The sequence below is a fragment of the Homo sapiens genome, chromosome 4 (assembly GCF_000001405.40).
Source record: "Homo sapiens chromosome 4, GRCh38.p14 Primary Assembly".
Taxonomy (NCBI): Eukaryota; Metazoa; Chordata; class Mammalia; order Primates; family Hominidae; genus Homo; species Homo sapiens.
This window is the reverse complement of record NC_000004.12, coordinates 150,446,272-150,473,225: the sequence shown is the minus strand read 5'-3', so window position 1 is coordinate 150,473,225 and position 26,954 is coordinate 150,446,272. Positions and strand designations below refer to the sequence as shown.

General features: G+C 34.7%; 1 protein-coding gene across 11 annotated transcripts in view, besides 1 other annotated feature; it reads left to right on the top strand.

Annotated features, from left to right (window-relative positions):
• LRBA (LPS responsive beige-like anchor protein) overlaps nucleotides 1–26,954 on the top strand; it is a 751,293-nt gene that overhangs the window by 542,502 nt on the left and 181,837 nt on the right. For all 11 annotated transcript variants that reach the window (XM_047416462.1, NM_001367550.1, NM_006726.5 and 8 more), the window contains 2 exons: nucleotides 1,487–1,602; nucleotides 5,441–5,553. In XM_047416462.1, coding sequence (XP_047272418.1) covers nucleotides 1,487–1,602; nucleotides 5,441–5,553 — 229 coding nt within the window. The remainder of the gene's footprint in view (nucleotides 1–1,486; nucleotides 1,603–5,440; nucleotides 5,554–26,954) is intronic.
• Nucleotides 8,355–8,649: a silencer, noted in NCBI's record as "tiled region #5429; K562 Repressive DNase matched - State 12:CtcfO". NCBI's record gives its function as "represses a minimal TATA promoter and a strong SV40 promoter by Sharpr-MPRA in K562 cells {active_cell/tissue: K562}" and the evidence as "EXISTENCE:reporter gene assay evidence [ECO:0000049][PMID:27701403]".

Sequence of the window (26,954 nt, the reverse complement as noted above, 5' to 3'; positions counted from 1 at the left end):
CAGCACATGAAAAGATGCTCAACAACATACATTAAAACTGTTATTTTACACTAACTAGAATGGTAATAATCAAAATACACACAAGAGCAAGTATTGGCAAGGATGTGGAGATGAATGTATACATTATTGATTGGAACATATAGTGGTATAGCCACCTTGGAAAACAATTTGGCGGTTTCTCAAAAAATTAAAGATAAACTCAACATACAACCTAGCAATTCCACTCTTAGGAATCTACCCAAAAGAAATCAAAACATATTTTCATATAAAGATATATACATGAATGTTTATGGTAGCATTATTTATAATAGCAAAAACTGTTAAATGTCCATCAACTAGATAAACAAAATGTGCTGTATTCTATATACAGTGGGATACTAGTCAGCAATAAAAAGGAATGAACTGTGGATACATGCTACCATATTGATAAACCTCAAAGACATTATGTTTAGTGAAAGAAACCTGACACAAAAGACTACATACTAATGTATGATTCCATTGATCTGAAATGTCTAGAAAAGGTGGGTTTACTAGAGACACAGAGTAGATTGCTAGTTGCCTGTAGGTGGGGATAGGAATGAAGATTATCTGTAAATAGGTACAAGGCAAATTTTTGTAGTGATGAAAATGTTCTACACTTGATTTTAGCCAAAAGGCCGAGAAGAGATGAAGAAAATGTTCTAAAGTGAATTGTGATAATTGCACAACTTTTGAAATATTTTTTAAAAATTACTGAATTGTACAAATTGAATAAATTTTATGGCATGAAAATTATACTTCAGTGAACCTTTTACAAAATAATTACCTTGTTTTTTGTGGTAGAAAGAACTGTGACAGCCTATTTCTCTGAGATTCTAGGCTTTGAATGTAATAACTAATTCTGCCATCTGTTTCTCACTACTCTTTGTATTGATCAGTTCTATTCACTGATGTTTACATTTCATTAGGAGGCTACAGGAAAATTTGTCTTCTATTAAGCTATATTAAAAAAATTTCTCTTTACCCCATGAACAGACGCCCAAATAGTTTAGAGTCTCCCTTCTCTTTGATACAAAGTGTATGCAAATATATTTAAATTTATAATGTAAAAATGTGTTCATTTAAGATAACTATTACAATTAATAAAGACATGTGAATAGAATTTTATATGCACTTCCCAGCTGCTATAATTTCTTCTTTTTATATCATTAAAGCAGTGAATTATTAATTATACTGTTATTAATCAACTTTTATTGAACCTGTACATTATAATGGCACTGTAATGACAGCTTACCTGAATGAATACAACATGTATAATACCTCTGTGGCTAGTCTAAATCATTTGTTTAACCATGAATTGTAGATTGAAACCTCTCTAGTATTCATTAGTCTAACATGAATAGAACTTTTCAGAATTATAGATATTATGAATGAATAAGCACAGATAATTCATGATTTATTATTGTGATATAATTAATCATATCACATTGAATTCTTTTTCTTGCAGACGTATTTCATTAGCTAGTCCACGTCAGCTTTTTAAGGCTTCTAATATGACCCAGCGATGGCAACACAGAGAGATATCTAATTTTGAGTACTTGATGTTTCTCAACACGATAGCAGGTAACCTAATTCCATGTATTGATTTATTTTAGACAATAAATTATTAATTTCAATTGTTAGATTATTTTAAGTAGTGGTATAACTAGCTTGTTTTATTGCCGTTATTGCTACTAGAATACTACAAAGGATATACAAAGAGAATAAGGTATGTTGCTTACTCTCATAGAAGTCATTTTAAGTACAAATGTGAATGTTTACATGATTCTAGAGCAAGGGGATATAGATTCAGTAAAAAACTCAAAGTACTGTGGTGATTAAAAGGACAGGGAGAGAGGGAAATTATATTCACCCAGTTGGTGGGAGTAAGGAGAAAATAAGGTTTCAATGGTTGTATAAGGATGGATACTATTTGACTAGCAGAGGAGGTGGTTGGAATGTTAGATGTCATTCCATGTAAGACTGAAAGCATAAGCAAACATACAAAGATGGGAAAATATAAAGTATACCTAGAGAGCAAGAATGGTATAGTTTGTATATCTATGTATATACTGTATATTTTTGTGTGCATGAAGTATATATTCATAAAGATATAATGGGAAAAAATAAGAATGTTAGAAATGCGAAGAACGATTTTCTTGTCAGTTTGAAGAGTTAGCGTCAGTTCATTGGGAAACTTTTGAAAGTTTTTGAGCACCTAAGTGATATTAGAGCTGCATCAAAAATTAACTTGGAGGCTGTGTGTGTAAGATAAATTTGGGTGGCTAGAGACTAGGCAGAAAGTAAAGTTAGGAAGTAATTTAGTGTGTGGTGTGTGTGTGTGTGTGTGTGTGTGTGTGTGTGTGTAGTAATGAGGGCTTCCATTAGGTATCAGTGGGAATTAAAAAAGAAGGAACAAATTCTATAAGAATTCACAAGGCACCAACCATTTGATATGCAGCTGACTGAATGTAGGTGGTAAATGAGAAGAAAGTATCTGAAAAGACTTCCAGGCTTCTGGCCTGCGTTAGTGGGAAAATGGTGGTGCAATTAATGGAAAAAGAAGTCAGAAAATTTGATCTAGGGAAAGATGATGATTTTACTGTGCCGGCAGACTTTCTAGTTAAGGTATCAGAGTTTTTGGAAGTATAGGTCAAGGAGGATATTCGGAACTTAGAACTAGGACATTGGATTTCATCTGCATAGAGAGGAAATCACCAAGAGATGTGAGATCAGCAAGGAAGATAATACAGAAAGCAGTGAGATAAGACAGGGAAATTCTCTTGCATATGAGAAGAGAGAAGGAAAGTTAGTAAAGGACAAAAAGGAATGAGTGATCCTAGAATGTGCAGATATAGTAGGAGAACTGAGGTAAGTCAGATGTCTTGAGAGGCAAGGTGAAAGAGGGAGGAAGGCATTTTCACCTGTGTCAAATGTTACAGAGTGGAGAGGGAGACTTCAGAATGAATGGTTGGAAATGAAATAGTAACTGTAGATGTAATTACAGGTCTTTTTTATTTTTTTGAGACGGAGTTGCTCTCCTCTTCCCCAGGCTGGAGTGCAATGGCACGATCTCGGCTCACTGCAACCTCCGCCTCCCAGGTTCAAGCGATTCTCCTGCCTCAGCCTCCCAAGTAGCTGGGATTTTAGGCTCCTGCCACCACACCCGGCTAATTTTTGTATTTTTAGTAGAGACGGGGTTTCACCATGTTGGCCAGGCTGGTCTTGAACTCCTGACCTCAGGTTATCTGCCCGCCTCTACCTCCCAAAGTGCTAGGATTACAGGCGTGAGCCACCACGCCCTGCCAATTATGGTTATTTTAAATGTGTTATTAAAGAGAAGATGGGTTGGGGCAGAGAGGAGAAATGATGTAAGAGGAGGAGAGAAGAAAAGTAACAATTCAAGTTATGAGGGAGACAGGTTTGAGAGCTCAGGTGAAGCAATTACTCTTAGCAAAGAAAAGACCCTGTTAGAGAAATGGGAAAGAGTGAGGGGATGTTGCAAAGAATTGGAAGTTGAGGGGCTCACATTGAAAGTTCTAAATTTTATTAGAAGTTTATCTCACAGTCAGCTGAGGAAAAGGGATGAAGAAAATGTCAATGGTTATGTTGAATTTAGTAGAAATTATAGAACTAGTGACTAAAAGAATTTTTAAGTAGTGAGAGGAAACTTATATAACAAGTTTAATGGACATATTTTGCATGTAGTAAATCAATTAACCCATGTTGAATGCACAGTTATGATTATGGAGCAACATTTATGAAATCATGTGTTCTCAAATAGCTTTTATTGTGCCTGCAGTGTCCTTTAAGTATATTCCCTGTATATGTTTTATAAATATAGAATCTATCATTTGCTTTAGATTTTTTAAATGTGCATTAGAGGATGGAGTTAAGTCTCACTTAAGATTTCTTTTACATTATTATTTGTGCCACATATAGATAAACATGATATCATGATGCATTTCCCAAATGGCCATCAGTTGATATTCAATAACTGTGTATTGAGTTTAACTTAATTAAGTCTAATCACTGAGCAGGTCCATACTCTTCATTTTTTAGGTACAATAAAAAATTATTTCTGATTATTTAAGTAGATGGGACAAGACGATTTTACTGTTTACCAACATTTAAATCAGAAGGAGAAGGAAGTGGGGGAGCATAAAATTTTTTTTTCTGCTGCTATGTTTGGTTTTTTTAATGGAGAAATTAAAATTATTGATAGAAATATGTAGTGACATTAATGATCTATGAATTAAAAATGTCATTGTTATGATGTTTTATAAGACTGTTCCAGGTCAGCCAAAAATGAACTCTGTTACCCTAATAGGCCTCAAGCCTAAGATGAATAGAGTAAAATAAAAAGTTAAAAACATCAGACCTAAAAAAGGCTTAGATACCAAGAGTATGTACAGAGAACTACTTTAATATTCAGCTACGTATTGATATAACATCAGTATATATTTGAGAAAGAAAAAGGAATGGAAATGATAGAATATATAATAAGAAAGGAATTCAAACAATATTAATATACTTGTCTCTATGTTCACCGTAAAAGTCTGTTCATGTTAAATCTAACTAAAAATATGTATAGACTAGTAAATAGGAACTGGGATTCAAACACCAGCATTTTGATTCCAGAAACAATGATCTCACCCACTATGCTACCTCCCTAAAAAGGTAATATCCAAAAAACTGCTGTACATATGTAGAAGGACTACCTCCTCTTTTGCTGTAATTTGTATTTTTAATAAATCTAAATATGTCATTGAAAATGTCATTAGAAAGATGTATAGAAGAGCATGTGGCCACATTTGGGCATGTAAGGAAGCAACATTGATAATACTGCTCATTATTTTCAGAGGATTATAGGATTTGAAAACTACCACAGACATTTCAGAATTATTTAGTGCAATGCCCTCATTTTATAGATGACTGGTGAATGTCCACCAGGGTTAAGTCATTTAAACTTGATTGCTTAGTTGGTTGATTATTAATGGCAGAGAAAGGATTCTTGTTTTGAAAAACTGTGAGAATTACAAATAGCTTTTTAAAGTCATAAAAAAAAGAGTATTTTATTTGGGGCAGGCTTTCAAGTGATAAAAAAAATTATCAAATGTAGTTTAAAAGAACACAAACTTAGGACCAGAAAATCTGGATTTCAATATGGTTTGACCATTACTAGTTGTGTGATTTGGGGCAAGTTACCTAACCTTTTGTGACTCAATTTTTTCATCTGTGAAATGGAGATGATACAATTTCATAGGATTGTTGTGAGGATTAAATGAGAGAAAGTATGGATACTGAGAATGATGTCTGGCAATCAAAAATTGTTTAATCTTATTTTTAGTAAATTATATTACTGAATCTGTTTATTTCACTTTTAAAATTATAAATTACGAGTAACTTTTTTCCCTATCAGGACGGAGTTATAATGACTTAAATCAGTATCCAGTGTTTCCTTGGGTCATCACTAATTATGAATCAGAAGAACTGGATCTTACCTTGCCCACCAACTTCAGAGATTTGTCCAAGGTAATTTCTCAGTAATGATGTGAAATATAATTGTCTTGCATATAAAAATAAATTGGATTGTCTTTCGTTATTTTACTTAACTTAAAAATTTTTTTCAAATATAGTCGTACCTTTAATATAATTATCTCTTAAACAGATTTTCAAATGGAAAAATTTAATGTGCATGATAAACACTACTTCTCTTTTGTGATGTTAGCACTGATATTCAGTGCATGGATTCATTAATTTAGTAAGCATTGCCAAATTGTGGTATTTAAAATATCACTTTTATTTCACTTATTTATGGGACTCATTCTATAAAGAGACACTTCCTCTCTTCTACTACTGGGGTATCCAGTGGTACATTGCAGAGAAAAGACAGGATAGAAGTTTAATTCTTTCTCTTTTCTGTTAATTTACATAACAGTTTTCAAAATATTGAGTTGATTCCTAGCATTCTCCAATGGTATCAAACTGACTATTAAAAAAGTATCTTTATGAACTCATAGATTTCAATGTATTTGATGTTTCAATCCATTGCAGTTATTTACTGATGTTCAGTTGTTCTTTCTTTGACCGGGGGAGCTTCTTGAAGTTATTACTGGGACATTTTTGACACTGTTTGTAGTCTTTGATAACTTTCATGCTCTCTGGTATGACCAGGCACTCTAGTCTTAACCCTTACATTTTCTGGCCCAGATACAGAATCATCTGTTTCTTTGAGGAGCCCGGGTGGGACCTCTTATAGTGGGAATTAATATCTGGAGATCACAGTTTTGTCTATTCTGCTTATTGCTACTGAATTTGTCATTATTTCTATCCCTTTTTTAGAGGGTGCTAGGAAAAAAATTAGGATGAAATACATTATGAGTTCAAACTGATTCCTCCAATTTATATTCAGAATTGTATTTCCTTTAATGTCTGAGTACAAAGTCTCTACCCTCATTTTTTAGGTGAGTGGAATATCCAGTCTTTTTCCTAAAGCTTCTTTCCTTAGTAATTTCTAGGAACAGCTAACAAATGTTTATGTCTTCTACATCTTTGACCTGGAGACTTTTTGTTGCTTCTTCCCTGTCTGTACCCTGACCCAGTGTTGGTCCTTTATTCCTGTATGTCACTCTTACATTCTCAAAACACCAGATTTCTTGCTGTTAGTACTAACTTTTTTCAAGGGTATACATAGTCATTTCCCTTAACTCTTCTAAATCCATCTTAGGCCACAGGTAAGTGTTTATGTAAAGCTCCACTGAATACCCAATCATAGCAGAAATGCAAGGCTCTCAGTGATTCACAGTCTCAGTCAGAAGATCATTGCCCAGTGTCTGCAGATCCCAGCATGAGAAGTACAAGTTCACTCAACATATCCAGTGTCCTTTACTTAGAGCTCAGGGACTCTAAGAGTGTGTTCTCTTATTTACTCATTCCAGGAAGATGTTCAGGAGTAATTCCTACTCTCTATCCACAGGATAGGATCTTCACACAGTTCAGACAATCACAATAGTTACCGAGGATGTCAAAACGAAGGTTAACATTTTCCTCATGACAAACAATAGTGTTTAGGATCTAGCCATTGTCTGTTTTATTACCACGTCTTCTGTCTCTGTCCCCATCTTTGCTGTATCATCTGATCCTGTGATGCCTCATGTTCACCTCTTGTGCTTTTGCTGTTGGCTCTTTTCTTTATCTAGAAATTTGAACTCCCAGGGTACTTTCCATATACTTGTTATAATACATTTCATAATTTATTATAATTTTAACATTTTCTTCTCTGTGTTCCCTATTAAGCAAAATCATTGAATACAAAGATTTTGTTTTGTTAATTTCTGTATCTCTTGTGCCTGATATAGTGCTTAGAGCTAAGAAATTGTACCAGTTTCTATATCTACTTACTGAACTCTAAAAGGGAGTTTTAATTTTCAGAGGAAAGCCTTATTCATGGATCACATGTCTAATAAGGGATTAATATCAAGAATTTGTAGAGACTCCTAAAACTCAACAACATTCAAAAATGGGTAAAGAACCTGATAGACATTTCTCCAAAGAGGATATACAAGTGGCCAATGAGATGAAAATGAACATCACTAATTATTAGGGAAATGTAAATCAAAATCACAATAAGATACCACTTCACAACCATTAGGAAGATTGTTAATGAAAACAAACCCAGAAAATCACAAGTGTTGGCACGGATGTGGAAAATTGGAACCCTTGTGCATGCTGGTGCGAAAGTATGATAGTGCAGCTTATATGTCAAACAGTATGGTAGTTTCTCAAAAAATTAAAAAGAATTGAAAGTAGGGATAAGAACAGATAATTTTACACCCATGTTCATATTTGTAGCAGCGTGACACACAACAGCTAAGAGATAGAAACAACCCAAATGTCCATCGACAGATAAATGGGTAAACAAAATATGGTATATACATACAATGTAATATTATTCAGCCTTAAAAAGGAAGGAAGCTCTGACATATGCTACAACATGAATAACCCTTGAGGATGTTATGCTAGGTGAAATAAGCCAGTCCCAAAAAGGCAAATACTGTATGATTCCATTCATATGAGGTACTTAGAGTTGTGAAATTTATAGAGACAAAAAGTAGAATACTGGTTGCCAGGGCCTGGGGTGAGGGAGAGAATGAGGAGTTAGTGTTTCATGTAATAGGTATAGAGTTTCAGGATTGCAAGTTGAAAAAAGTTCTCAAGATGGATAGTGGTGATGATTGTTCAACAATGTGAATGTATTTAATACTACCGAACTGTACGTTTATGTTATGTATATTTTGCCACCATTAATAAAAGAGAAACCAGCAAGAAAAAAAAAGTTAGCAAACTAGAAACAATTTGAAAAAGTGCTTGTGTGTTTCTGCTCTTGCTTCTCTGTGATCACTTTGAGAATATGCCCTAAACATTCCCAAGTTAACCTGCTGATGGGTTGTGACTGACACATGGAGGACACTTGAGCTGTGACAGCTTAGGTCATCCTTAACAAGCTAGTCCTCAGCTGACCTGCCAGCTGACCACAAACGTATGAAGGAGTCCAACTAAGAGCAACAAAGCCAGGCCCAGATCAGCAGAATTTCCCAATTGACCCATTGACCATGAGGAATGATAAATGGTTGGTTTAAAAAAAATTGAAAAGAAAAGGAAGGCCTTACACCTCGGTATCATATTTGTTCTAAGACCCCATAGTATTATGGAATCTGTAGAGCTCTGTAGTCTAATAAATGAGGACTGTATTAGTTTGACTTGTGTAATGAGCCATGCAGTAGGTCAATAATAAAAACTGGGCAGCTCTTTAATCCTCAGGCTATTATACCCTACTCTCTCTCTATGGTTTGAATTTTGTGTTTGCAAAAGTAAAAATATCATTTTTGGGGGGTTGATTTTGTTAGAATATAAAATTTGCTTCACAAAATGAATGACATATATATGAATACGTGTTCTAGGGTCCTAGAAGTATTGCCTTGCCTTCTGTTTCAGGGCTGAATCCACAGTTTGGACTCTATTTCAGCACATAGCTTATTCAGATGTTTTTTGTGCTTTAGATGAGTTTTTAGAAATCTCTTTAAGATGTGATGAGTACTAAGATGGATTGTGGGCTGGACTCGGGCTGGACTCATGATTCAGTCTTGATGAAACAGTACCTAATGGTGACAAGTGGGAGGTTATTTTTTTTTTTTTGAGGATATGTTTTTCTCTTCCTCCATCTTTGTACCTGACCAAAAGTTCTCATAACCCTTTTACCTCATCCTAACACCACCCTTTTTTACCAACTGCCTCCATTCTCTGCCCCTCATCTTTGTTACCTATTCTACTAAAAATGTTAAATGACCAGAAGGAAGCCTCCAGGACATTTTTATTATGTAGGCTGTATGATTTTTATTATGAATGTTCATTGAAATTATATCAGAAAAATGCTATTGTAGATTAGTGGCCAGCTAAACAGAATCCTTTATTAAAATCAAATTTTATTTGTATATTACAGCTGTACCTAAGGAACTTGTGAAATACTTTTGTTGGGTGGGTAAAATATTATTTTAACTAATGCCTTTTCTTCAGGATATGAGAAATAAGGTTACCTTATGCCCCAGTAGATGATCAATAGTAATTTTGCTTTTTTATTTTGCTACATTAAAAGTAAAAAAGGGGGGGCTGCAAAACAAAACAAAACTGTTGCTTTCATTAACCTCTATCCAAATATGTCCACATCCACTAAACAAAGACATAAGAAATGTCATTTGTGTAATTTTGTGACTTCAATTGTAATGGCATTCATTTTTATATTTTTAGAAATTTTGTGAAATATTTGCCCTTTTGGCTGAGGAAGGAATAGTTATAAAAAGTGCTTTCAACAAGAACTGAAGGGCACACAGTTGAATAATGAACAGTAGTGTAATTAGTAGGTCTGGGGAGAAGTGAGGAGCTCTAACATTCTACCGCCTTACAACTAATATCTCCTTTCCTATAAACCAATGGTAGTGTGAATGCTACAAAAGTCATTCAGGTTCATGAGAATGGAATTCTACTAGTACTAATTGCTTTCATTAAATATTGATGAAATAAGTGAGTTTGGAATCAACTGCATTTAGTGAAATAATCAAGCACATCAGATATTTGAAAATTGTACTTTGCACATATAAAATAGCGGTGATTGTTTACTTAGTAAAAGTACCTCATTCCTTTTAGTATTAAGGCTTGCCAAAATGTTTACAGTGTGATTCAGTTTTCAAATATTTGTTTATACACACATTTTCAAGAATACATCTCATATATAAATGAGCTCTATCTGTACAAATAATGATTATAATAGAATTGTATTAAAATTTGTCCCATAGTATACATTTTGTAAACATTACTGTTTGTTTAAATAAACTTGTGAAATCTTAGAAAACATTGTATGCATAGCTTAATGTAGAATACAAACAGATCTTATCTCCGTTCTTAAGTGGATAATATTGCCTGACTGGCTTTAAAATGTATTGAATTATTTATGCATATTTATATCTATTTAATTTTGCCAAAGCTGTTTTTCAGAGGACTTTTAGTACCTTTGATACAAAGCTACAATTTTATTTGGTAATCTCTTCCATGTTGCACTGGGAATTCTCTTTCTGAAGCTGAATTAATGTAATCAGCATCCTTTCTTCTGTATTATTTTTCTGATCTTCTTTTAAGAAAAAAAAAGTCTGAATGGAGCAGTGTAAAAAATGTCTTTTTAAATGTATAAGCTTTTATTCCATGTACAATATATCTCTTTATAATCATTCCAAATTAGTATCATAAGTACATTGAGAAGATCAAATCTATTTTATTCTGAAAGACTGGTGAAAATTAAATCTTTTCTTGTATTGCAAAAGTCCTCATTTAGCATAAAATGGTTTAATTTATTCTTTCAAAGCTGAAAAAAATAGGAATCAATTTTGAGGTTGATTTCTTTTCCCTCTACTTTCCCAGTTATTTCATCAGTAGTCTGAAATTCTGACTGATGAGAAGACAGATCTAACCATGCATAGAATTTGGAGTGACATTAATCCATATTTTATAAACATACATTGATTTTATATTTTGACAACCTCCTTGGAAGAGATAAGATTCAACATTTTCTTTTTGACATTTCTTTATAAGAATTTATAATCAGCGCAGGAATATATTTACAAAATGTCATACCATAAAAGTAAATTATGATGGCTGAGTTTTTCAGTACCAGGGCTTCCTTTGTAGATTAGGATGATTTCCTTTGTACCTGTGATTTATTATTTTTTCTTTACTTTGGAAAGTGATTGTGTAAAACAGATTTTCTGAGAGAGGGAAACCAAGACAATCTGAGGCAATCATGTTTCTTCTAGTTGACCAGTGTAGTTATTTTAGAATATATAATATGTATTTGTATAGTAATCTGGGTACCTTTTAAAAAAACCAGCATGTTCTTGGATTGAAATGCAATTGATAACTATTCCACTTGCCAATGAAAACCCAATTATCTTGGCTATGAAATTCACAAGACAGGATCATCCACTTTATTATTATTGTTAACTAATATTTATTGAGCATTTACTATATGCCAGGCATTTGTCTAAGTGTTTTGTGTGTGGTAATTCCTTTAACCTTCACAAAATCCCTTTAAGTAGGTAACATTATTGTTTTTTACAGAGGCAGAAACTAATGCACCATGAGGTCAAGTTGCACGTAGGTAGAATCAGAATTTGAACACTAAGTTTTCAACCTGTAGCTCACAATTGCGTTTTTAAAAAATGAATGGGATACCGTAGCATAACATAAAAAAGAAACCATCACTGTGCATATTGTATAAATCTTCTGCTCAATTTGTTTGAGTGTATGTACATGTGTGTTTTTTAAAGTAACATATTTCTTAACGTGAGCTTTGGCCCAGAAAGTTTGAGAAACTCTGTAATATGCCAATAGTGCCTTCCACTTTTGGCACCAGTTGCTGGTTCTGTTTTAATGTTATTTATGAAGTTGCCTTTCACTTCTCATGCTGAAGTACCTAGTACCTACAAGCAGCATGCTATTGCTTGAAAAAGGAAAGCTTTTTTTCTTTTCAAATTGCCCTACTCTTGTTGTCTTTATCCCAGGTTATGCTCCAGCCTTTTTTGATTAAACCTATTTTACAAAAAAAGCTGAATGTTCGGTTAAAACTAGAGGATCCCCAGTGTTACTGCTTATTCATTTGTTCATTCATTTATTGGTTGTTAATTGAGTACTGTAATATGCCATGGACTGCTAGTTTCTGAAGATGTGAAAGAATAAAATGAAGTCATTACTATCCTAGTAAAAGAATAAGCTGAAGATTTGGGAGAAACAGGAATGGCCAAGATAAAGCAAATACTTACTTTTTAATAATTACAACTCACATTTTTAAAATGAAGGAAAATAGAGAGTTTGAGGAACAAGGTAAAGAAAAATCTGTTTTTCATCTTTAGATTGTAACCACAAAATGAGCTGTTATTTTGGTCCATAGTGCAGAAACAGGAAAATAAAGAGTAGAAGAAAATGAACCTGCACCATGATCTCCTGATTCCTATCTTGCAACATAGGAATCAGAGGAAAATTGACTAAAACTGAATTTTAAATTTTTGTCTAAGCTCTAAGAAATCATGTTTGTTTTGTTTCGTTTTGTTTTTAAACCTATGTTACAATGCTAGACTATTCACACTCTGTTAACCTAGCAGTTTACATTGCCCTAGTTTGGATCCAAATAGTTCTAAAGAGTAGATTCTGACAAAACCGAAGAGAACTGAGTGACAGAACCATAGTGAATTTGTTATTCATTGCTGAGTTGCTCCTGTTTGTGCTTAGTATATGTTTCTGTTTCTCGCTCTCTCTTTCAGGAAAAGTAAGTGATTTTTTTTTCTCTCCTTCATGTATCTCCTACCATTTGGATGTATATTTTTATGTGTGAGATATTTCTGTTTAACACACACATTTAATATACAGCATGCATCTTGACCTGGAATTGACTACCGACATTTAACTGTTGTTGATCAGACAGCACTTCTTTATCTCTTTAAGTTTTAAGTGCTGTTTCTGATGAATGCCAGTCCTTTTAGTCTGCTCTGTAACAGATACACTGGGAATCAATATACCATCTAGATGTCACAGAGGGAAAAGAACACTCTTGGGGGTGGGGGGAATATTGTTTAAACTTGTTAGGTGTTATGGCTTTTACTTCATTTTTCTATTTATTGGGCTTCAGTGAAGCTAAAGGAATTCAAGCTTACCAAAAGAAACACATCTTATGATACTACAACAGTAAATAATAGATCTTAAATTGTTTAAATAAAATATAAATGCAGAGAAAGAAACTAAAAATTACCCCATACTTGATTATGTTTTGGATATGTTTTATTGGCTGACATAATATGTTAAAATAGTTTAATCTTGGCATCAAACATGGATGCTGTTGTATGCCACATTGATTTTAGAGATTATGATATAAATTACATTGTCTGGCCTTGGAAAGTTTGCAGTCTAATAAGCATAAAAATGATATGGGGAGAGTTCCCAACGTATTTGTAGGATTGTGAGGGAAGCCCTAATAGGTGCTTTCCACTATGACAGGCATTTTACATATGCTGTTTCATTTAATTCCTTCAATAACCCTGTAAGGAATGTGTTATTGTCTTTATTTTACAGATAAGGAAACTAAGATTTAGTGAGGTTAAAGAATTCTGGGAGGTCACACATTTTCCAAGTGGTAAGCTCAGGATTTGATCTCAAATCTGTCTGTCAGTCAACTGGTAGACTTTAGGTATAATCTGAAAGAACATTTTAAATTCAATACTTGCTTTATATCTGCTTCATTCCAAAATCCAACTACTCTTCCCTCTGTATTGTCAAAAAGCAAGAGATTGACTTTTTTGGAGAAATTTTACCAGACACGTTTCTGATATGAGAACACCAAGCACACCAGAAGGAGGGTTTAAGGTAAAGGATGGAAAACAGGAGGATTATAACTGAAAGCTTTAAGTACCAAGTCGTGAAAGCCCCTAGACCCCTTCTGCTGTCATGCTATTAGAACTGCGGCAGCTAAGCTTATACCATCCCCACCCCATAAGACAGAAGATTGTATTACTCTTTGGACATATTCACTGGCTCAAAAGAAAACACCTAAAAAAATAAAACATTTAGGGATTCTACTTCGAGCCCACTTGATTTCCCTTCAGTGAAGTCTACCAGTTCACATCACTACTTATGGTCTATATGCTCAGTCAGCTCTTCAGTGTCTCATTCTTAAAAATGGAGGTGCAGCCAAGTATTAGCAAACATTTAAAGACAACCTCTAATGTGAAAGATGACAAAGACCAAAGCAAATAGAAAATCAAAACAAAACCAGAAGAAACAGAGGCAATTTATGAAACAGAAGTGTTTTTTTAAAAAAAAAAAAACTAGAATAAATATTTTCAGATAAAGGGAAACTATTGCATTAATAGAACAAGAAAATTATGCTATGGAAAGTGAATAATCATAAAACAAGAAAGAGCAGTATAAAAATTAATAGAAGAGTTATAAATGCAGATATCTTCTAAAAGGAATATCAACATGATGTGGAGAAAACAGCCTGGAAAGATAAAATTAGACCAGAGCAGGGAATCTTTGGATTTAGATAGAGTTGTATATTCCTGTTACCATTTATAAGTAGAGAGACCTTTAGCAGATTACTTAATTTTGAGGATCCTAGGTAGCAAACTGTGTAGCTATTTAATTTATATAACCCTGAAGAAAATTTTTCATGGGTACACTGACCTTTTTAAATTGAATTATTACGTGTTCAATGTGGCATGTTAGTTTAAAATGTGTCTGTGCAACTCTTTATGTAGAATTTAATACTAAGTTCAGGAAAGTGGAAGCATATATATTTAAGGAATATATATGTATATGGATGTTATAAGGCATTTACAGGATTTGTTGAAGTTTTGCTTTTAAAACAGAATTAGTCCATTTATTTTGTATGGCTGTGTTTCGAAACTTACATCTTTTAAGCATTAGTACTCTGTATAGCAGATTTGGTTTTCTGTAGAAGTTATCTTCTAATAGAAGTTTTTGAATGACTCTAACAGACGTTAATTCTACACTTAATTCAAGCAGCCTCCAAAGACATTGTTTTTTAACATTAGTCAGAAAATGATAAACTGAAGCAACTGAAATGGATTGTGGTTAATATTACTGTCAGGGTGATGAATAATCCTGACATATACCAGCAACACACTGCCAGTCAGTAATCCTTCTCAAAGTTAAGTATTTATTCTCTAATCATGCTAAGTTACTGTGATGTGGAGTGACTATTTATTATTATTTATAAATGAATTGTTTTATTTGCATAGCATTATTAATTTTATCCCATAATGCTTTGTATTTGTTTGGTGCTGGGTGTACAAACTGAGGTAGGTTTAGAGTAGGGAATATCTACTGTGAATTTACATAGGAACTATTTTCAAAACACCTAGGAAATTTTTTTTAAGTTTAATTAGTAGTAGTAACTATCCTCCTGATTTGGCTATTTTTTTTTAATTATAGAAAGTGAATTTAGTAGAAGGACATTTAAAAAACATGTATGCATTTGTAGCTTTTAAAATATACTTGCATGTATCAACTTCTGATTCTTATCTTGCCTATGATTTTAAAAGTTACTTTGTATGTGAATATGTACTATGCTTTTTTACAGTGGATAATGTAATAAATATATTTTATTCTTATGTTCAAATTCCTGTCCAATTCTATTCTCCAAGTTCTATTCAATGTGTTTGTTCAAATAATTGTTAAGTATTTGCTGGGCATCTTTTGTCTACACTATTCTGAGGACTCTTCCAGAAACAAAAGTGAGTTAAATTGTTCGTACTTTTAAAGACCTTTATAATTGCATGCATGTTATATTTAAAACATTTATACAAGACTAATAAGACAACATTTTTCAGTAGCTTAATTTTTAGATTGTCTTACTTTCAGAAAAGGAATTTTTTAAAAAGTGTGAATCCAAAATTTATCATTTGAAGCAAGTTTTTGGAAGTGGAAAGGAGTAAATTCTGCAAACAAAATCATATTATTGTGGGAGCAATATAAAAATTAGAATAGACAAATAGTTTTTTTAATTTAGAGGAAAAGAAAATCAGTAGTTTTACTGGGATACACATCCCGTTGAACTGCATTAACTTATTTACTTTAAAAAGAAAAGATTTTACAAATCCACATACCTACAGTGGACTCATTTTTGACAAAGGTGCCAAGAACGTACACTGGGGAGAAGACAGTCTCTTCAATAAATAGTGCTGGGAAAACTGGATATTCATATGCAGAAGAATGAAACTAGAACCTTATCTCTAACCATATACAAAAATCAAATCAAAATGAATTAAAGACTTGAATCTAAGAACTCAAACTGTGAAACAAGAAAACATTGGGGAAACTCTCCAAGACATTGGTCTACACAAAGATTTCTTGAGTAGTGCCCCATAAGCACAGGCAACCAAAGCAAAAACGGGCAAATGGGACCACATCAAGTTAAAAAGGCTTCTGCGCAGCAAAGGAAACAATAAAAAACTGAAGAGACAAGCCACAGAATGGGAGAAAATATTAGCAAACCACTCATATGATAAGGGATTAATAACCAGAATATGTAAGGAGCTCAAGCAGGTCTATAGGAAAAACATCTCATAATCCAATTTTTTAAATGGGCACAAGATTTGAATAGACATTTCTCAAAAGAAGGCATACAAATGGCATGCAGGCATATGAAAAGGCACTCAACATCATTGATCATCAGAGAAATGCAAATCAAAGCTTCAATGAGCTATCATCTCACTCCAATTAAAATGGCTTATGTCCAAAAGGCAAGCAATACCAAATGCTGGTGAGCATGTGAAGAAAAGAGAACTCTTGTACACTGTTGGTAGGAACATAAATTAGTGCAACCACTGTGGAGAACAATTTTGAAGCTTCTCAGAAAACTAAAAATGAGCTGCCATATGATCCAACAATTCCACTTCTAGGTGTATACCCTAAAGAAAGGAAATCAGTGTATCAAAGAGGTATCTGCACTCCCAAGTTTGTTGGCAGCACCGTTCACAATAACCAAGATTTGGAAGCAACCTAAGTATCCATCAACAGATGAATGAATAAAGAAAATATGGTGCTTATACACAATGGAGTACTATTCAGCCATAAAAAAGAATGAGATACTGTTATTTGCAACAACATGGATAGAACTAGAGGTCATTATGCTAAGTGAAATAAACCAGGCACAGACAGACAAACATCACATGTTCTCACTTACTTGTGAGGATCTAAAAATCAAAACCATTGAACTAATGGAGATAGAGAGTAGAAGGATGGATGGTTCCCAGAGGCTGGGAAGGGTGGTGAGGGAATGGAGTATAGGTAGGGATGATTAATGAGTACAAAAAAAAATTATCAAGATAGAATAAGACCTAATATTTGATAGCACAACAGGGTGACTATAGTCAACACTAATATAATTGTACATTTAAAAATAATTAAAAATATAATTTGATTGTAACACAAGGGATAAATGCTTGAAGGGGTAGACACTTGATTTTACATGGTATTATTATGCATTGCTTGCCTGTATCAAAACATCTTGGGTATCCCATAAGTATATACACAAACTATGTACCTATAAAAATTAAAAATTAAAAAACATTGAGAATGATGATTTCCAATTTCATCCATGTCCCTACAAAGGACATGAACTCATCATTTTTTATGGCTGCATAGTATTCCATGGTGTATATGTGCCACATTTTCTTAATCCAGCCTATCATTGTTGGACATTTGGGTTGGTTCCAAGTCTTTGCTATTGTGAATAATGCCGCAATAAACATATGTGTGCATGTGTCTTTATAGCAGCATGATTTATAGTCATTTGGGTATATACCCAGTAATGGGATGGCTGGGTCAAATGGTATTTCTATCGCAAGAACAAAAAACCAAACACCACATATTCTCACTCATAGGTGGGAATTGAACAATGAGATCACATGGACACAGGAAGGGGAATATCACACTCTGGGGACTGTGGTGGGGTGGGGGTGGGGGAGGGGATAGCATTGGGAGATATACCTAATGCTAGATGACGAGTTAGTGGGTGCAGCGCACCAGCATGGCACATGTATACATATGTAACTAACCTGCACAATGTGCACATGTACCCTAAAACTTAAACTATAATAAAAAAAATAAAAAATAAAATAAAACTGGAGTAAGCAATAAAAAAAAATAAAAAACACTGAACACCAAAAAAATTAATAATAAGAAATAAAAGTTTTTGGATGGAACTGGAGGTCATTATCCTAAGTGAAGTAACTCAGGAATGGAAAACCAAATACCACATGTTATTACTTGTAAGCGGGAACTAAGCTATGGGTATGCAAAGGCATACAGAGTGGCATAACGGACATTGGAGACTTAGAAGGGAGAAGGCTGAGGGGGAAGGCGAGGGATGAAAGATCACCTATGGTACACTCTTTGGGTGACAAGTATACTAAAAGCCCAGACTTCACTACTATATAACTCATCCACTTAACCAAAAGCTACTTGTACCCCCTAAAGCTATTGAAATTTTTAAAAATTTAAAAAAGAAAAATAAAAGTTTTGATTAGGCCAGTAAATTGGGAAAGTTATAGATCTAGTGTGACCTATCTCAGTAAATTATTTTAAAATCTGAGTGTTACCTGTCTGAAATACAGACAAGGTAATTAAAAGTCGTTAGTAACATTAATAACTGTTCAAATCATCATACAATCCTATTGTTTAATTGTCTTTATAAACTTGAGATATTGCCTTCTTTAGGGCATCTTTTTAGAATTCTGTCCCAGTTTCTGACTTGTTCAGCAGTTTCACTAATATAACAAATTGACCATGTAGCTTACCTTACACAAATTAAAATACAAATTTTTGAGGTTGGTTGTGGTGGCTCACGCCTGTAATCCCAGCACTTTGGGAGGCCAAGGCGGTCAGATCATGAGGTCAGGAGATCAAGACCATCCTGGCCAACATGGTAAAACCCTGTCTCTACTAAAAATACAAAAATTAGTCAGATGTGGTGGTGCGTGCCTGTAATCCCAGCTACTTGGGAGGCTGAGGCAGTAGAATATCTTGAACCAGGGAGTTGGAGGTTGCAGTGAGTGGAGATCGTGCTCTGCCCTCCAGCCTCGGTAACAGTGAGACTCTGTCTCAAAGAAAGAAAAAAAAAACTTTTAAATCGTTTTGATCGAAACATTCACATGAAATATTCAAGTGAAATATGAAGGACTATTATGAATTCTTACATTTAGGGTTGAATTTTTCGTACAGGAAAAGGAAGAAAAGAGGTTTAAGATTAGTCAGTGTTAAATGTATAACACTTGCTGGTGTCTTGTTGGTAGAAAGGAAGATGAAGATGTGCCAGTTGTTCCCAACCTGTGAGCTCTGGTCACTTGAGGGGACTGTGGGTTTGTTGCAAGAGATCTGTGAATAGATAGTGTACGTGTATATATATTAGAGACTGTCTTACAGGAAAAGTTGAAAGCTGCTGATTTAGATTATGTAATTGACTATCTACTTATTTTGACCCAATGGTGTTAATGGGTTTTCTAAAAACAACTTGGATCAAACAGAATTATTACTATTCTTCTGTATTGTGGCTGCTAATGCTACTTATTTTTTGTCTAGAATGTATTGTAAGTTCATGGTAAGAGTTAAGGTTCATTTTTTTGTGTGTAGAAGTCCAATTCTTCTAACACCATTTGTTAGAAAGACTTTTTCTCTGGAGGTCTCCTGGAATCTTTGTTGGAAATCAATCGGCCATATATGTGTAGGTCTATTTCTAGACTCTGTTCTTCACAATTAATCAGTATATCCTTATATCAGTATCACAGTCTTGAGTACTGTGGTTTTATAGTAAATCATGTAATAAAGTCATGTGAATCCTCCAGCTTTATTTTTCTTTTTAAAAATTGTTTGGCTGTTCTAGGCTTTTTGCTTCCTGTTAATTTCTAATTTTTAAAAAGCCTTCTAGATTTTTTATTAGGATTGCATTCAATCTGTAGATCATTTTGGGTAAAAATAAAGTACTAAGAATATTGAATGTTCCAATTCCTTAGTATAGTGTCTTTTCCGCTTATTTAGTCCTTTTTTAGTTTCTCTCAAATGTTCCATAGCTTTTAGCATACAATTCTTACACATATCTTGTTAATTTATCCTTTAAAAATTCATGTTTTTAATCTTGTTATAAAACGTTTAATTCCAGTTGTTTGTTGCCAGTATATAGAAATACAGCTGAATTTTGTAAATTGACCTTGTATTCTGCATCCTTGCTAAACTCAATTATTATTACTAGCAGCCTTTTTGTAGACTTTTTGGGACTTTATACATAAATGGCATTGTGAAATGAAGACTTACTGCACTATACAAGGTTAACAAGTACTGAGAGTGCCTTGTCTTTTGTGTTAGGGGAAAAGTATTCAGTCTTTCGCCCTTAAGTGTGATGTTAGCTATAGGCTTTTCTGTAGGTGCTTCTATTAGGTTAAGTTCCCTTCTTTTTTTTTTTTTTCCTTTGAGATGGAGTCGTGCTCTGTTGCACAGGCTGGAGTGCAGTGGTGAGATCTTGGCTCACTGCAACCTCTGCCTCCCGGGTTCAAGCGATTCTCCTGCCTCAGCCTCCCGAGTAGCTGACACTATAGGTGCACACCACCGCACGCGGCTAATTTTTGTATTTTTAGTAGAGATGGGGTTTCACCATGCTGGCCAGGATGGTCTCCATCTCCTGACCTTGTGATCCGCCTGCCTCGGCCTCCCAAAGAAGTTCCCTTCTATAAGAAGTTTGTTGAGAGTCTTCATCATAATTGGGTATTGACTTTTATCAAATGCTTTTTCTGAAGATAATTGCGTTTTCTTTTTTAGTTGGTTAGTATAGTGAATTACACTGGCTGATTGTATAGTGTTTCCTTTCTGTGATAAACCAGATTGTGATGTATTATCCTTTTAATAAATGGCTGGATCCCATTTGCAAATATTTTCTTAAGACTTTTTGCATATATGTTCCCAAAGGATATTGGCCTGTAATATTGTTTAGTTGTGGCATCACGGTAATGCTTACGTGACAAAATGAGTTTTGAAGTTGTTTTTTCCTCTTCTATTTCCTGGAAAAGATGATATACAATTATTATTTCACCCTTAAATGTTTGGTGGAACTCATGAGTGAAGCCATTTAGGCCAAGAGTTTTGTTTCTGGGAAGGTTTTTTTGTAAAACTTTGAATTCAGTTTCCTTAACAGATAAAGTGCTATTCGGGTTATCTTTTTGTTAATGAGTTTTGGTAGTTTGCATCTTTCACAAAATTTGTTTATTTCATCTAAGTTGTCCCTTCATTCATTCTTGATACTGGCATTTACTTCTTTTTCTCCCTCTGGACCAGTCTGGTTAGAGATTTTATTTATTTTTCTATTGCTTTTTCTGTTTTCAATTCCTATGATCTTTGCTTTCCATACTATATTTTTTCTATTTGATTTAGATTTAATTTATCTTCCTTTTTAGTAACTTAAGGTGCAAACTTTAAACTATTGATTTAAGAACTTTTTTCTTTTTAATATAAGCATTTAGCACTACAAATTTTTCTCAAAGCACTGATTTAGCTGGGTCCAACACATTTTTATATATTGTTTTTATTTTCATCCCATTTAAATGTTTTCTAATTTCTCTTGTAAATTGCTTTTTGACCCATGGATTATTTAGAAATATGTTGTTTAGTTACCATGTATTTGGGGATTTGTCAGATGTCTTTCTTGTGTTTATTTCTAGTTTAATTCCATTGTGGTTGAGGAACATACGCTGTATGATTTCAGTTCTTTTCAGTTACTGAGAATTTGTTCGATGGCTCAGAATATAGTCTACCTTGATTAATGTTCCATGTGCATTTGAAAAGAGTGCATATTCTGTTGTTAAGTATTGTTCTATAAATATCAATTAAGTAAAATTGGTTGAAGATGTCGTTGCTCATGTCTTCTGTATCCGTACTGATTTCTACTTGTCCTGTTGAATCCTGAAAGAAGAGTGTTGAAGTCTCCAACTATAAGTTAGATTTGTCTATATTTTCTTTCAGTTCTGTTAGTTTTTCTATTTGTTTGTTCTGTTTTGTTTTGTTTTGTTTTTGAGACAGAGTCTTGCCCTGTCACTCAGGCTGGAATGCAATGGTGCCATCTTGGCTCATTGCAACCTCTGCCTCCTGGGTTCAAGCAATTCTCATGCCTCGCCTCTTGAGTAGCTAGGATTACAGGCATGTGCCACCCTGCCCAGCTAATTGTATTTTCAGTAGAGACAGGTTTTGCCGTGTTGGCCAGGCTGGTCTCAAACTCCTGGCCTCAAGTGATTTGTCTGCCTTGGCCTCCCAAAGTGCTAGGATTATAGGTGTAAGCCACCCCACCTCACCAAAGTTCTGTTAGTTTTTATTTTACGTGTTTTCAAGTTTATTTTTGGGTACATGTTATGGGTTGAATTTTGTTTCCAAAAAGATATGTTAAAGTCCTAACCTCCAGGTACCTATGAATGTGACCTTATTCATAAATAGGGTTTTTGAAGATGTAATCAATTTAAGATAAGGTCATTAGGGTGGGCCCAAATCCAATATGACTGGTGTTCTTGTATGAAAACGTCATATAAAGACAGACATACAGGGAGAGAACACTATATGACGATGGAAGGAGATATTAGAGTTGTGTTGCTGCAAGCCAAGGAACAGCTGAGCCTACCAGAACCTGGAAGAGGCAAGGAAAGATCCTCCTCTAGAGGCTTCAAAGAGAGCATGAACCTGCCAACAACTTGATTTCAGATTTCTAGCCTCAAGAACTCTGAGGCAATAAGTTTATATTGTTTTAAGCCACCTAGTTTGTGATATTTAGTTATAGGAGCCCTAGGAAACTAATACAGTGCATACACTCTTCAAATTGTTATTTTTTTGATAAAAGAATTCATTTTTCATTATGCAATGTCCCTCTTTATACTTAGTAATATTTCATGTTCTGAAATCTACTTTTTCTGATGTTAATATCCCAGGAGGGCATTATTTTGATTATTACTTGCAGCATTTTTTCTATTATTTTAAGAAGCCTGTCTATGGCTTTATATTTAACTTTTTTTTTATGGACAACATATAATAGAGCCTTGCTTTCATGCCCAGTCTGACAATCTGTGCATTTTAATTGGGGTGTTGAGGTCATTTACATTTAATGTAATTTTTTATATGGTTGGCTTAAATCTACCTTCTTGCTGTTTTTTATTCTACACATCAGTTCTTTGTACTTTGTCTCCCTTTATGTGCTTCTTTTAGATTATTTTTATGATTCTATTTTATCTGAGATAGGAGAACAGTATAGGCTGGGATATGAATAAGATTTTATGCCCAAAGAAGTATATGCTTCTTCTTATGTCAGGTAGTTAGTGTGGGGAGTTCAGTCAATCTAGTCAATAGATAAGCTTAGTTAGGTTTGTTATTGCTATTATTACCTTAAATACAGTATAAACTTCAAATTCTTCTGTAAGAATTTGGCCTGGGTGGTGGATGTTTTTTCTCACTGTTCTTGCTCTACTCTCTAGCCGACCCTCTATGCCTGTGCCACAGAGGCATTTTTTTATGTACTTTTCTGGTTTTTTTTTTTTTTTTCCAGAAGTAGATTGCTGTTGTTGGTAACTCAGTGCCAGGCTTGTTGTGGGGTGGATAGGGTAGCTCCTCAGTTCTCCTGATTCATCCTCATTCTTAAGTAGATCCCATTGAAATGGTCCTCAGGTACGGACTTTCTCAGTGTTCTTGCCTCTACCCCTCATGGCATCCACAGGAAAGAATTTCCTATCCTTCTCCCAGTAGTAGCAGACCTCTTCTTTGCATCAGTGCAGGACATGTCTTCTTGAAAGGGCTTTTGCTTTTACCCTACCCCAGAAGCAGTGGATCTTTGCCTGGGTCCTAGGGGTGGTACACAGGATTTTCTATCCCTTTTCCTGCGGTAGATTAGTTTTGCTCGTACTCTTTCCCCATGTGCAAGTTGATATTTGCTTAGGACCTGGAATGAGAGTTTGGTGTTCCTCTCCCATCAGCTTAAGGATTTTGATTTCTGTTTTGTTGCCATTCCCAGTAACTGTAAATCATATCCTGTGTGCCTGTGTTACTTAGAGAGCTACCCCCTGGTCTTCTACCTTGCCTCAGTCGTATTCTCTCTCATGAGCAATGGGAGAGGCCCGTGGAAAAGAGCTTACAAGTGCATGCAAACTCCCGTGTGTTTCTACATTGATCTATTCACCCAATACTGGTATTTAGAAATTCTTTATAAATTTTAGCAGATTCTTCTTTCCTGCCCACCCCCCCCCCCTTTTTTTTTTTTTTTTTTTTGAAACACTGTTTCACTCTTATTGCTCAGACTGGAGTGCAAGGGCATGATCTTGGCTCACTGCAACCTCTGCCTTCTGGGTTCAAGCAATTCTCCTGCCTCAGCCTCCCAAGTAGCTGGTATTACAGGTGCCTGCCACCATGCCTGGCTAATTTTTGTATTTTTATTAGAGATGGGGTTTCATCATGTTGGCCAGGCTGATCTCTAACTCCTAACCTCCAGTGATCCACCTGCCTCGGCCTCCCGAAGTGCTGGGATTACAGGTGTGAGCCGCCACGCCCGGCCTTCTTCTTACCTACTTTTATGTTGACTACCTCTTCCTCCCATGCTTTGCCAAAATTATAGCAGTTTGTACCATCTCTCGTTGAAGAGGCCTGTAACTTTTTGGAATTTACTTCATTTGGTTGTCTTTTACCTCAGCTCTCTGATTAGTACAAAAATGGTTATCAACTTTTAGTCTTTTTATTGTTGTTACAATGACAGCAACATTCCCTGATACTTTCTACATTTTTATATGAAGGTAGAACTGCATTATTCTTTGTGGTACCGAAATTGCCACGACTTTGTCTAGTGAGGTCTCTTTAAGAAGGGTCTTATGTCCCTTAGATACAATCCCATTAATATTTGACAAATCCTTTGCCTTGTGGCACAACAAGGTGTCCTAGGCTATTTTGTATATTTCCTGCCCCAGAATTAGAATCAGCGATTTGTTTAAGGACCTCTGGTTCCTTTTAGTAGGAAATGGTCAACTTAGCTAGCTTTTTAAATATGAAATTACCCATTTTGGATACATGGTTAATGGACTTCTTAGGCTTTTCTTCCTGTGAATTGTCTAGTGCATTCTTTGACCTCCACGTGTTGTTAAATCACTTTTTAAAATGAGCTTCTTAAGTAATGTCAAATTTGAAAGTTTTAAAAAAGGTGCCTCATTTGGGAAAAGGAGTGTGGATGGTGGAACCATAGTTTTGCCATCTATTACCAGAATGAGGTAGTTTATAAAACTTTGTATTCTATTTTATAAGTGATTGTAATCTCAATATTGATCTCAAAATATGAAGAAATACTCTATATTTACCTTATGAATTAATTTCATTTCCTCTTGATGTGGTATCTTGAGGTTCTCCAGAGAAACAGAACCAATAGGAGTTATCTATGTATCTGTATCCAAAAAGAGATTTATTATGAGAAATCGGCTGATGTGATTAGGGAGGCTGAGAAGTCCCACAGTCTGCCATCTGCAGGCTGGAGACCCTGGAAAGCTGGTGGTGTAATTCATTGCAGGTCTAAAGGCCTGAGAACCAGGGGAGCTGATGGTGTAAATCCCAGACTGACAACAGGAAAAGATGAGATGAGCTGTCTCAGCTTCAGCAGTGAGACAGGAAAAAAAGGGCAAATTCCTCCTTTCTCTGCATTTTCTTCTATTCAGATCCTCAGCAGATTGGATGATGCCCACCCACATTGGAGAAAGAAATCTATATACTGTGTCCACCAGTTTAAAGGCTAATCTCACCTGGAAACATCTTCACAGACATACCAAGAAATAATGCTTAATCTCTGCACCCTGTGGCCCAGTCAAGTTGACACATAAAATTATTTCATATGATTTGTGTTACATGAGGTTATTTTTTTTCCAGTTGATAAAGGGAAGGTAGTAACTTATAAACTGAACAAAGGATTTTTATTATGTTTTATGCTATGTTTTATTTCTTTTTGTCTTAAATTGTAGAGGCAGCCCAAAACCCTGTCCAGCTATTGCAGGTGCAGTGGTTTCTAAATCCGAGCTTTACTGGCTTATTTCTAGTCCCTCATAAGTATTGATTATCACTGTACTACAATTAAATGACTAAATTTAACCCCCTCCCCCACCATATAGATCAGATATATAGTTGTAGAGGGAAAAGTACAATAAAATTTTCATTTTAAAAAGGGTAAAATGTAAGTTCTCTATGTTGATGACTATCCCAACATACCCTCTTGCACAGAGAAATAAGGTAAATTTTAGATAGCAGTTGTGAATCTCATCCGCCTTTATTTTTTGACTCATTTCGCCAGCAATGGAGCAAAGTTTTTGGTCAGCAATCTGGCTGCTCCCGTTTTATTCGACTAGTGGATTTTGCTTTCCTTGAGGGAGCACTGGGGAGGAATATACAGGGACTGGACTATTTTAGCAGAGTCTGCTTTTTGGTATAAGGGCTTCATTTTGGGGATTGTTTTAGAGGTTGAATATCATTGACCTTCCTTGCCAGGATTGGGCTTTTTCTAGGAATACAACTGCAATGTAACTGCCTGTCAGTCCTCACATTGCTAATAATCTACTCCAAAAGCGTTATCAACATTTACCAGCTCTTATGTATGACCCATGGCTATTCTTAAGTCATGAGAATTATTAGAGTGTCTTCTGTTGCACTTATGGAATCATTAGAGATTATCTTGTTAAATTGATTCCAGTTGCCCTGTTTCTTCTGAAAGCTACCACATAGGCTCATTTACATTTGCCAAACAATATTTTATCTCCTTGTTTGATATTTGAAGT